The 12,131-nt window shown below is 36.7% G+C and overlaps 1 protein-coding gene across 3 annotated transcripts in view; it reads left to right on the forward strand.

The window, feature by feature from the left end:
- Window positions 253-12,131, forward strand: part of USP9Y (ubiquitin specific peptidase 9 Y-linked) — a 159,609-nt gene continuing 147,730 nt past the window's right edge. The window contains exons 1-3 of one of the 3 annotated variants that reach the window (NM_004654.4): window positions 253-1,077; window positions 7,656-7,715; window positions 8,410-8,565. In NM_004654.4, coding sequence (NP_004645.2) covers window positions 8,470-8,565 — 96 coding nt within the window. In that variant the 5' untranslated portion in view covers window positions 253-1,077; window positions 7,656-7,715; window positions 8,410-8,469. Of the gene's footprint in view, window positions 1,078-6,874; window positions 6,904-7,655; window positions 7,716-8,409; window positions 8,566-12,131 lie in introns of those variants that run through there. The other 2 variants (XM_047442772.1, XM_047442771.1) reach the window with 2 other exon arrangements.

The following is a 12,131-nucleotide window of genomic DNA, read 5'->3' on the forward strand; positions in this document are numbered from 1 at the left end:
GGGGAGGGGCAAGCCATAGGTAGTACTGGAAAAGTCAACATTCGATTGGTTAAAAGATACTATTCAGAAAGAATCAATCATAAATGAAACGGCAGGCAAAAAGGAACAGAGGTTCTCATTCTGGGTTGTGTTTCATACAGGACTAGCAGTCAGTCTTTCAGCCTGTGGCCTGTTTTTGGCTTTCAGGTGGGGTTTCACCAGGGACTTGCCCCTGTCTAGGCATTTGGCTGGCTTCTGTAGCTATCAGACTGTTGAATAATTGAACTTTGTTTATTTCTCCATATTTTTGCAGTGGTAATTCCATTATAAAACCTAATGAAACAATGTTTTTATAGATGGTGTGGAAAGACTTTTCTGGGCTCAGAGGTGAAACTGACCCTTGTGTATCAGCAGCATTTCTGACTGACTGAGAGAGTGTAGTGATTAACAGAGTTGTGATGTTAGTTAAGAAACTTAGATTTGCCATTGTAGCTTTTCTACCAATTAGCAGATTGTTTAACTCACTGAAATTGTAAAGTGGTAGACGTGGACTTAGTCATTACTGGGCAGCTTATGAATTGTATTCATTTACTCATGATGTAAAAATGGTTAGTCTCCACTTTTAAGGCTCTAGTTCTAGTGGCTAAATAGGTACTTATTTATACAGTATGATAACTGCTGTATTAAAATACATGTCTCAAATGTGGAATAGTAGAAGAGGTGAAGAAAATCATAGTTTGAGGTAGAATACTGTTTGCTGGTCTTAAAAACTGTGGTATTTTGGTGATTCCATAAATTAGGTCAGATACTTCCACTGGAGGGAAACAGTTTAAAGGATATATGTGATACTATTAATAGAATGAGGAAGACACACCAGATATTTAGGAGGGAATTAGCGAGCTTGAAACTAAGAGCTGGTTTGAATGAGACTGGGTCATAAGTGATTTCAAGTACCAGATTAAGGCACTGAGATTTTATTTTTAAGCACTGAAGTCAGATTTTTTCCTTTTAAAAGAAAGGATTCATGATGAAATCTGCTTTTTGTTTTGCAGAGAGCTTGGAGATAATTCTGGTGGCTGTGTGGAGTATGTGTTGGAGGTGAGTTGCTAGCTGAAGAATTAAAACAATAGTTTTAGCAGTTTGGGTAAGAGATGTTTACAGAAATGTTTTGTGGAATAAAACTGAACAGTCAGAGACCTATGAGATTACCATGGTCTGATAGAGGGGCAGCTAATACAATCTTTTCTTTTTTTGTCACTGAGTTAATTACTAAGCTGGGGCAGGATATTTGTCTTTTACTTCATAAGAAAATAGCTCACAGTTTAACAGCTTAAAACAACAAACATATCTTTTCGTTTTTGTGGGTAGCAGTTATTTATCTGAAGGCTGGTATGTCCACTTCCACAATGGCTTACTCACATGATTGCTGACAGCAGGGCTGATTTCTTTGCTAGCAGTTGGCAAGAGGTATGTCCTTGCTGTAAGGATATATCTGTAAGCCTGTTTCAGTGTTTGGGGCAAGCCTTGGCTATCAAGCTAAGGGTACCTATGTTGAGGCCTAGGGAATTATCTATTGTAGCCTGCTTGGGAAAAATATTATGAGAAATTTTTGTTGTTCTGATTTGAACAGTAGAAGTGTGTAGTACTTGAGGTTCCTTGAGGGTATATTTAATATGGATTTTTCTGTCTGCAAAACAATATTGTGGAGATAGTGTTGAATCTGTAAATCACTTTGGGTAGTACTGATAACAGTAGTAAGTCTTGTAATACCTGGACATTAGAGGTCTTTGCCTGTATTTCTGTCTTTAGTTATTTTTCCCTCCACAATAAATTTTTGTTTTTAGTATAAGTCATTGGTCTCCTTGATTAAATTCTATAGATTTTTCTACATGTAATATCATGTCATCTCTGAATAGGCACAGTTTTACTCCCTTCTTTCTGATTTGGATGCCATTTTATATCTATCTCTTCTTTCTTTGCTCTGACTAGGACTCTCCATACTAAGTTGAATTAGAGGGGTCCTTGTCTTGTTCCAGATCTTAGAGAAAGGCTTTGCGCCTTTTCCCATTTGGTATGAAGTTAGGTCTTGCACTCCTCTTTGTCTTATATGACTTTTTTTTTTGACAGAGTCTTGCTCTGTCACCCAGGCTGGAGTGCAGTGGCGCAATCTTGGCCCACTGCAAGCTCTGCCTTCCAGGTTCACGCCATTATCCTGCCTCAGCCTCCTGAGGAGCTGGGACTACAGGCACCTGCCACCATGCTTGGCTAATTTTTTAAATTTTTTTAATAGAGATGGGATTTTAACATGTGAGGTTGTGTCCAGAATTTATTCCTTCTTGTGGGTTCTTGGTCTCGCTGACTTCAAGAAGGAAGCTGCGGACCCTCGCGGTGAGTGTTATAGCTCTTAAAGATGGTGTTCGGAGTTTGTTCCTTCAGATTTTCAGATGTGTCTGGAGTTTCTTCCTTCCAGTGGGTTCATGGTCTCTCTGACTTTAGGAGTTAAGCTGTAGGCCTTCGCAGTGAGCATTACAGCTCTTAAAGGTGGCGGGTCTGGAGTTGTTTATTCCTCCCAGTGGGTTCGTGGTCTCACTGACTTCAGGATGGAAGCCGCAGACCCTCATGGTGAGTGTTACAGCTTATAAAGGTAGTGTGGACCCAAAGAGTGAGTGGCAGCAAGATTTATTGTGAAGAGCGAAAGAACAAAGCTTCCACAGCATGAAAAGGGACCTGAGCAGGTTGCTGCTGCTGGCTGGGTGTAGCCAGCTTTTATTCCCTTATTTGTCCCTGCCCATGTCCTGCTGATTGGTTCATTTTACGGAGTGCTGATTGATCCATTTGACAGAGTGCTGATTGGTCTGTTTACAATCCTTTAGCTAGATACAGAGCGCTGATTGGTGCGTTTTACAGAGTGCTCATTGGTGCGTTTACAATCCTCTAGCTAGACACAGAGCAGTGATTGGTATGTTTTTACAGAGTGCTGATTGGTACATTTACAATCCTCTAGCAAGACACAGAGTGCTCATTGGTGCATTTTTATAGAGTGCTGATTGGTGCATTTACAATCCTTTAGCTAGACACAGAGTGCTGAATAGTGCATTTACAATCTTCTAGCTAGACAGAAAAGTTCTCCAAGTCCCCATTCGACCCAGGAAGTACAGCCGGCTTCACCTTTCAAGGTCAGGAGCTCGAGACCATCCTGGCTATATGACCTTTTTTTACGTTCTGTTTTGTTGAATGGTAATACAAGGTTGTTGAATTTAGTTAAATATTTTTTTCTACATCAAGATAAAGATCATGTGGTTTTTCTCCTTTTTTTGGTGATAGGGTATATTACATTGATTGGTATTCATGTATTGAACCAACTTTGCATTGCAAAAATCCCATCTGATTATAATTTTTTCATGATACTGCTAAATTTGGTTTGCTAGTGTTTTGTTGAAGATTTTTGCATTTATATTTATCAGAAACATTGGTCTGTAGTTTCTTTTTAGTAGAAAAGAAAGTGGAAAAGAAAACACTCACAGATTTAGTCTAAGAGGCCTGCATTACCTTTATTCCAAAGTCAATTTGTGAGTGTTTTCTTTATTTTTCAGGAAGACTTTCAGGATTTGTGATACGTATTCTTTAGATGTTTGTGTAATTCTTCAGTGAAGTCATGTGATCACAGACTTGTTGGTTGGAAAGTTTTTAATTAATGATTCAGCCTCCTTACTAGTTATAAATCTGTTCAGATTTTCTAATCCTTCATTATCTAGTCTTGGTACATTGTGTGTTTTTAGCAACTTACATTCATTTTTTGTAGCTTATCTAATTTAATGACATATAGTTGTTCAAAGTATTTTCTTAGACTCTTTTTTTCTGTTTGCATTGGTTGTATATCCCTTCTTTCAGCCTTGGTTTTAGTTATTTGAGGTTTTATTTTTTCCTCTTTATGTAAGTAGTGGTGTCAGTTGTGTTTATCTTTCAAACAGCCTCCTTTTGATTTGGTTGATCTTTTTTTTCTATTCTGTATTTTATTTATCTCTGCTATGATCTTTCTTCAGTTAGCTTCAGGTTTAGTTCTTTTTCTCCCTTAAGATTATAGTTGGGTTGTTAATTTCAGATTTAAGGCCAGCATTTTACAGGTATTAAACTTATAAACTTTAAAACTATGAACTTTTCCTCTAGCATTGCTTTTGCTGTGTCCCATCAGTTTTGGTATGTTTTATTTTTAGTTTTTCTCGATATATTTTCTAATTGTCATTTTAATGTTTTCTGACCCATTGGCTCAGAATGTTTTGTTAAATTTTCACACATTTGTGGATTTCCAGTTTTCTTTCTGCTGTTGATTCTATTTTCATCCCATTGTTTTCTGAAAAGATACCTTATGTTGTTTCTGTTATTTTAATCTTATTAATACTTGATTTGATATGAGGTTTGTCTTGGGGAATGTGCCATATACACTTGAAAAGAATGTGTACTCTACTGTTGTTGGGTTAGTGTTCAGCATATGTCTAATTGTTTTATTGTTGAAATCCTCTATTTCCTTGTTGATTTTTTTTTTTTGTCTGGTTGGGTAGAAAGTGAGTTAGGGAAATTTTGTACTATTATTTTGTTGCTATCTATTTTTTCCTTTAATCTGTTAATATTGCTTTATATATTTTAGAGCTCTGCTTTTTGTTGCATATTTACAGTTTTTTACCTTCCTAATGAATTACCTTTTTATGATTGTGTCTTTCCCTGTCTCTTGTGGAATTTTTTTATTTAGTCTATTTTGTGTGATATTAATATAACAAACTCTGCTCTCATGTGGTTATTATATGCATGAAATATCCTTCTCCATTTTTTCACTTTGAAGCTATGGTTATTCTTTGATCACATAGTCTACTGTAGGACTCTTGTGAGTCTCTTATAGGGAAGGATAAGGTTGAACTTGCTTTTTTATCCTTGCAGCTCATCTATGTGTTTGATTGGAGAATCCATTTACACTTAAAGTATTTACTGAAAGGAAAGTATTAACTATTGTCAGTTAGTTACTTTTGCCTCGTATTTCTTGTGGATTTTTGCTTATTTTCTCTTTTACTGCCTTTTGTGTTTTGTTTATTTATTTTTTGGTAGCGATAAGTAGTTTCATTCTGTTTTCATTTTCATTGGTATATATTCTGTATTTTGTTTCTGGTTATAACTGCAATAGGATCTTGTGACCTGTAGAGAGTTTACATAGTAAATTGATGTTGGACTATGCTTCATCTCTCTCCTCCCTAAAAAAAAATGCACTCCACAGAAAGCTTGCATATGCTTTTAGAGCAATTGGTTATTAATTCCTAAGTCATTCATAGATCTTACACCATCCTCACTTAAAGCAGCTTGTATACAAGGCAATCGATGAGGAAAAGGAAAGACATTGCCATTTTTTCAAGAATTTTCTGGAAGAAGAAGTTCAGATATTGGGTGGCTTTCAGTAGGGGAGCCTTGAACATATTTTATAGGCTAAGAAAAGTGAATCCAGGAAGAAACTGAGAAAAATTGAGAGAAGATTAGAGCAAGGTTTTTTTCATAAGTGGGGCATATATGTGGGATCAGGAGCCCCCAGGTAAGGGACAAAAGGAACAGACATGAGCAAGTTTGAAGTAGTGTTTAGTGAAGTGGCTGGTTTCTTTCTTACTTGCAGGAAAAACTTATTAAGTCATTTTTATTAGCAGCAGAACTAAAATAGAAAATGGGAGGGAGGGAGTTTTTTTAGTTTGTTTGTTTTAAAACCTATTTCATATAAAACATTTTGAATGAGAATTTTTATGTATCAAAAAACAATGAAAGAGAAGACTATATGATAAGATGACCATATAGAGGTAGATTTATGTGTGTATATACTTCACGTTTGGTTTTTGTCCATTTTCTTTTCAATCCTGCCCTTATGGAATAATATTAATTTGTAACTTGGTTTTCAATTTTATTTATTAAAGAACAATCTATGTCTGACTTAAATGTTTAGTTACCAGTCTTTAGTTTTTTTTTGATGAATATGGTCAGGAAAAACAGAATAGTATTGCATTGTTATAACGTTTTGTCTTGATTATTAATGAGATTGAAAGGGTATGTGTGTAGCGGTTTAATCATGGCAGACTTCCTATGTTAGAATCCCTTTTTCCACTAAGTACTGATTTGAGCAATTAACTTTTTTGTTTGTTTGTTTGTTTTTGAGATCGAGTTTCGCTCTTGTTGCCCAGGTGGGAGTGCAATGGCGCAATCTCGGCTCACCGCAACCTCTGCCTCCTGGGTTCAAGCAATTCTTCTTCCTCAGCCTCCCAAATAGCTGGATTACAGCCATGCGCCACCATGCCCAGCTAATTTTGTATTTTTAGTAGAGACAGGGTTTCTCCATGTTGGTCAGGCTGGTCGTAAACTCCCAACATCTGGTGATCCGCCCGCCTCGGCTTCCCAAAGTGCTGGGATTACAGGTGTGAGCCACCACGCCTGGCCCAGCAATTTACTTTTTTTTACTCTCTGTTTCTACTTACCTGTGAAGGTGGTTAATAACAACTACTAAATGGATTTGCTGAGTGAAATTAAGTGTTTCACATAGTGTCTGACTTCTAAAAAGTGCTGTTCTTAAATTTGTTATACACATATGTATTGGTCATGTGTGGTTTTTTGTTTATTTGATTTGTTTTACTTTAGTTTTTTATATACTGTGCCTTACTCTGTTTCTCTCTCTCTCTTTTTTCTTGGCAGTGTGTTTTGGACACATAGATATCACTGATTATTCTTTTCTACCTTGCTTTGATTTCAAGTTTTAATTTTTTTCTTTTTTTTTTTTTTTGAGGTGGAGTCTCACTCTGTCGCCCAGACTAGAGTGCAGTTGTGTGATCTCAGCTCACTGCAAGCTCTGTCTCCCAGGTTCACACCATCCTCCTGCCTCAGCCTCCTGAGCAGCTGGGACAACAGGTGCCTGTCACCATGCCCAGCTAATTTTTTATATTTTTAGTAGAGACAGGGTTTTACCATGTTACCCAAGATGGCCTCGATCTACTGACCTCGTGATCCGCCCGCCTCGGCCTTCCAAAGTGCTGGGATTACAGGCGTGAGCCACCGCACCCAGCCTCAAGTTTTAATTTTTATGGAAACAAACCTAGTTCTCAATCAGTGACACATCAGATTAAGCTTGGAGATTTTAAAGAAGTGCTGATTATTAGGTCTCAGATGTTTTGCTGTTTGGTCTAGGCTGGAACTTGGACATTAGCAGTCCTCTAGAAGTACTTCAGGAAATGCTAATTTGCAATTTAGTATGAAAACCACTGGACTAATGAATATGGAATGTAAAGGATTTGGTGGCGTTTTCCCATACTCCTATCAGATTGCAGTGAACCCTAACCAGTAAATTTCTGTGTCCTCTAGTCCTGTTAAGATTCTTTGAATATACTGTTGATTCTCCTGAAGGACTATTAAAAAGGACCTTGGGAAAAAAGACTTGTCAAAGTGGAAACGTGAGCTCACTTGACAGATTTGATGGTTTTGGAGAAATATGGTATAATTTAAACCCTTTCCAAAGAAGTTACCCGAAAGTTTTAAATTTTATATTTAAATCACTTAAAAAATTATCTTAAAAGCCATTTATAACGCTCTGATACAATGATGTGTTGACTGTGCATTGTCTTGAATTCTTTGTAAAAATCTAATACTAGTTTCCTTATGTTTAGGTATTAAATTTTCACAGTATATATAAGGCAGCAATTGATAGGCCTTTCACAGATTCTTCTGTAAGTTAAAAATGACAACCAAGAAGCTTACTTATTTTTCTGGAATGTTATATAATATATGGCATGTTTCCTGGCATAACTGCTTGTACAATAGTGTGAATTTCTTAAGGGAAGTAAAACTGTAAATACACATTTAGCTTTTTATTTCTCTCATTTTTATAATCCTCTGTTATTAACTGTAAAGACTGGTGATTTTAGTGTACATATTAAAATTGTAATAATTTCTTATTCATCTTTTTTTGTTGTTTTTTGGAGACAGAGTTTTGTTCTTGTTGCCCAGGCAGGCTGGAGTGCAATGGCACCATCTCGGCTCACTGCAAAGTCTGCCTCCCAGGTACAAGCGATTCTCCTGTCTCAGCCTCCCAAGTAGCCCAGATTACTGGCAGGCATCACCACACCCAGCTGTATTTTATATTAGAGATGGGGTTTCACCACTGTTAGTCAGGCTAGTTGCAAACTCCTGATCTCAGGTGATCCACCCGCCTTGGCCTCTCAAAGTGCCGAGATTACAGGCATGCACCACCATGCCCAGACTCTTACTGGTCTTTTTAATATGTAAGACAGTGGTACCTTTTTTCCTTTTAGGTTATGAAATGGTCTCTGCAAGATGTTTTGTCCTTGAATTGGAAATTTTTAAGGCTGATATATGCTGGTACTTCATCTTCTATATGTGGACTATAATTTCTTCCCTTAGGATAACTACATAAAGAGACAAAAAAAAGAAAAAAGAGCAAAGATCTGTGCTGTGTCAAGTATGACAGCCATCACTCATGGCTCTCCAGTAGGAGGGAACGACAGCCAGGGCCAGGTTCTTGATGGCCAGTCTCAGCATCTCTTCCAACAGAACCAGGTAGGAGTAAGACTGTGTTGTTTTGAGTACTGTGAAATACAAAATTGTGAAACATGTCCTGAATGATTTGTAAAGTAATCATAAAATATGTGGTTATTTTAAGTTACACGTGAAAAAAGTGACTGTGGGCTAAGTGTGGTAGCTCATACTTGTAATCCCAGCATTTTCAGAGGCTGAAGAGAGAATTGCTTTAGCCCAGGAGTTCAACAGCAGCTTGGGCAACATGGTGAAACCCTGTCTCCCATACAAAAATTAGCTGGGCATGGTAGCACATGCAGATAGTCCCATCTACCTGGGAGGCTGACGCAAGAGCATCACCTGAGCCTGGGAGGTCAAGACTGCAGTGAGCTATGATCGAGGCACTGCACTCCAGTCTGGGTGATAGAATGAGACCCTGTCTCAAAAAAAAAAAGAAAAGAAAAAAAAGTGACTCTGGCATTTAGTGAAAGGAAACCTTGATTACTGTACATGGTTGAGAATGTAGCCCTGTGTTTTTCTGTATCTAAGGTCCCATGTGAATCTGAGGGCAAAAGTATTAAATTAGTCCCTGTAACCTTAGTTATAAGCACAGACTTCAGGCAGCTATTTATATTCAAACCCCACTTTATAAGATTATCTTATGACTCTAACTGCTATAATACCTAAGCCTCAGTTTTCATATCTATAAAACAAGGATAAGTGAAATAATATTTCTAAAAGGTTTAACATAGATTTAATATCAAAGTTCTGTGCTGACCTATTTGGAAATAATTACTTCTTTTACTATACTGTTAGATTTTTTTGTAAGATACATGAAGCTTCTAATGTTAGTAATTTGCCTTTACTTTTTCTTGGCTTTTTTCCTAGGGTGATTCATTAATTGCATTGAGCTAATGTTTTCAGGGTTTTGGCTTTTTAATTCCCATTTGTGTGTTTTTTTTTCCTTTTTCTAAGATTCATTCTTTTGCTTTCTTTAGGTTTTGTTTGCTGTTCATTTTCTAGTTCCTTGAAGTAGTATTTTGTTGATATTTGGATTTATGTTTATGATATATTGGTCTAGTTTTCGTGCAATATATTTGGTTGTTGATGTGAGGGTAATGCTGACCTCATAGAATGGCCTAGAAAGAAAGTATTCCCTTTGCTTCCATCTGGTGGAAAAAAACGGTAGAGAATTGATATATTTGAGAGAATTTACCACTGAGCCTTTCTGGGCATTGTGCTTTCTGTTTCAGAAGATTGTTATTTATTGACTGTTTATTTAGAAAATATTGCCAATTCAAATGATCTGTTTCTTTTCTGAGTTTTGGCAGATTATGTCTTTAAAGGAATTTCTGGTAGGTGTAGAGCTGTTCATAGTATTCCTTTATTATCCTTCAATGCAGCAGCCCCAACCCTTTTAGGACCAGCAACTGCTTTTGTGGAAGACAATTTTTCCATCGATGGGGGGATGTAAAATGGTTTTGGGATGAAACTGTTCCACCTCAGAACATCAGGCATTAGTTAGATTCTCATAAGGAGCATGCACCCTAGATCCCTCACATTGATTCAGTTTACAATAGGGTTCAGGCTCCTGTGACATTCTAATGTGTCTGCTCATGTGGCAGGAGTTGGGGCTCAGGTGCTAATGCTGGCTCACCTGACACTCACCTTCTGCTGTGCAGCCTGGTTCTTAACAGGACACGGACTGGTACCGTCTGTGACCTGAGGCTTGGGGATCCCTTAATGAGTATGGCATCTGTATTATATGTCCCTTGTTTCAATTCTGTAATTAATAATTTGTGTCTTCTTTTTTCTTAGTCTGGCTAGAGGTTTATTGATGTTTTCAAAGAACCAGTGTGTATGGTTTTGCTGATTTTTCTGTTAATTTCTTGTCATTTTCATTCCTGCTGTAGTTTTTTTCTGCTTACTTTGGAATTTGTACTTCTTGATAGTTTTTTTTTTTTAATGGAAGCTTTGATTATTGATTTAAGAGTTTCTTTTTAATATATGCATTCAATGGTATAAATTTTTGTCTTAGTTGTGCTTTTGCTGTATTCCACAAATTTTAAGTTGGATTTTCACTTTGTACAAATTTTATTTTTATTTCTCTTGAGCTTTCTTTCTCTCTGTCTTTTATTTTTCTGTTTTAGACTGAGTCTTGCTGTGTTACCCAGGCTGCAGTGCAGTGGCTTGATCTTGGCTTACTGAAACCGCTGCCTGCTGGGTTCAAGCAATTCTCCTGCCTCAGCCTCCTGAATAGCTGGGATCACAGGTGTGCGACACCACACCTAATTTTTGTATTTTTAGTAGAGATGGGGTTTCACCATGTTGGTCAGGCTGTTCTCGAACTCCTGACCCTTGTGATCCACCTGCCTCAGCCTCCCAAAGTGCTGGGATTACAGGCATGAGCCACTGTGACCAGCCCTTTCTCTTTCTTTCTAAATAACTCACGTTATTTAGAAGTGTGTTAGTAACGAAATATTTTAGGATTTTACAACTGTCTTTTAGTGAGTTCTGGTTTAATGCTATTGTGGCCTGAAAGCATGTGTTTTATTATTTTTATTTTAAATTTATTAAGGTGAGCTTTATGGCCACTGGGCGGGTTATCTTGGTGAATGTTCCCAGTGCACTTAGGAAGAAGGTATACTCACTGTTGTGGGGGAAATAATCTAGAGATATCAGTTAGATCCAGTTGATGGATGACGCTGTTTAGTTTTTTATGTTTCTACTGATATAGTCTGCTGAATCTGTCCATTTCTCATGGAAAAGTGTTGAACTCTCAAACTATCTTAATGGATCAATCTAGTCCTGCTTGCATTTATATCACTTTTTGCCTCACATATTATGGGGCCATATTGTTAGGAGCATATACATTAAAGATATTTCCAGCTTTTTGAATTGACCACATATATAATGTTGTTGTTTATTCCTGATAATTTTCCTTCACTGAAGTTCACTTTGTGAAGTTAGTATAGCTAATTTTCCTTTGTTTTGATTAGTATTAGCTTGGTATGTTTTTCTTCATTCCTTTAATTCTAATCTACATCTTTATATTTAAAGTGGGTTTCCTATGGACAGCATATAGTTGACTTTTGTTTTTTGATCTACTCTGATAATCTTTTAATAGGTATATTTAGGCCATTGATATTGAAGGTGATTATTGATATAGTTGTGTTAGTAACTACACTATTTGTTATTATTCTCCATTTGTTACCCTTATTGTTTGTTACTGTGTCCATTTTTTCTGCCTTTTGTGGTTGTAATTGAACATTCTATATATTTTTTTCTTTTCTAAGCTTATTAATCATAGGCTTTTATTTTTTATTTTTAAATTTTTTAGTGATTGCCCTAGAATTTGCAATATGCATTTATACCAAATCCGTAAGTCCACTTTCCAAAGTGGAGTACATGTACTATCATAACAAAATATCTGTAATTGTTTCCTCCTGTTCTTGTATCATTGCTGTCTTTCATTTCATTTTTACGTAAGCTGTAATCATTGAATACGTTGTTGTTAATGCTATTTTAATTTATTTTATTATTTTTTGAGACAGGCATCACTGTCAACCCAGGCTAGAATGCAGTAACATGATTTTAGCTTACAGTAG

This window comes from Homo sapiens, chromosome Y (assembly GCF_000001405.40).
Source record: "Homo sapiens chromosome Y, GRCh38.p14 Primary Assembly".
Taxonomy (NCBI): Eukaryota; Metazoa; Chordata; class Mammalia; order Primates; family Hominidae; genus Homo; species Homo sapiens.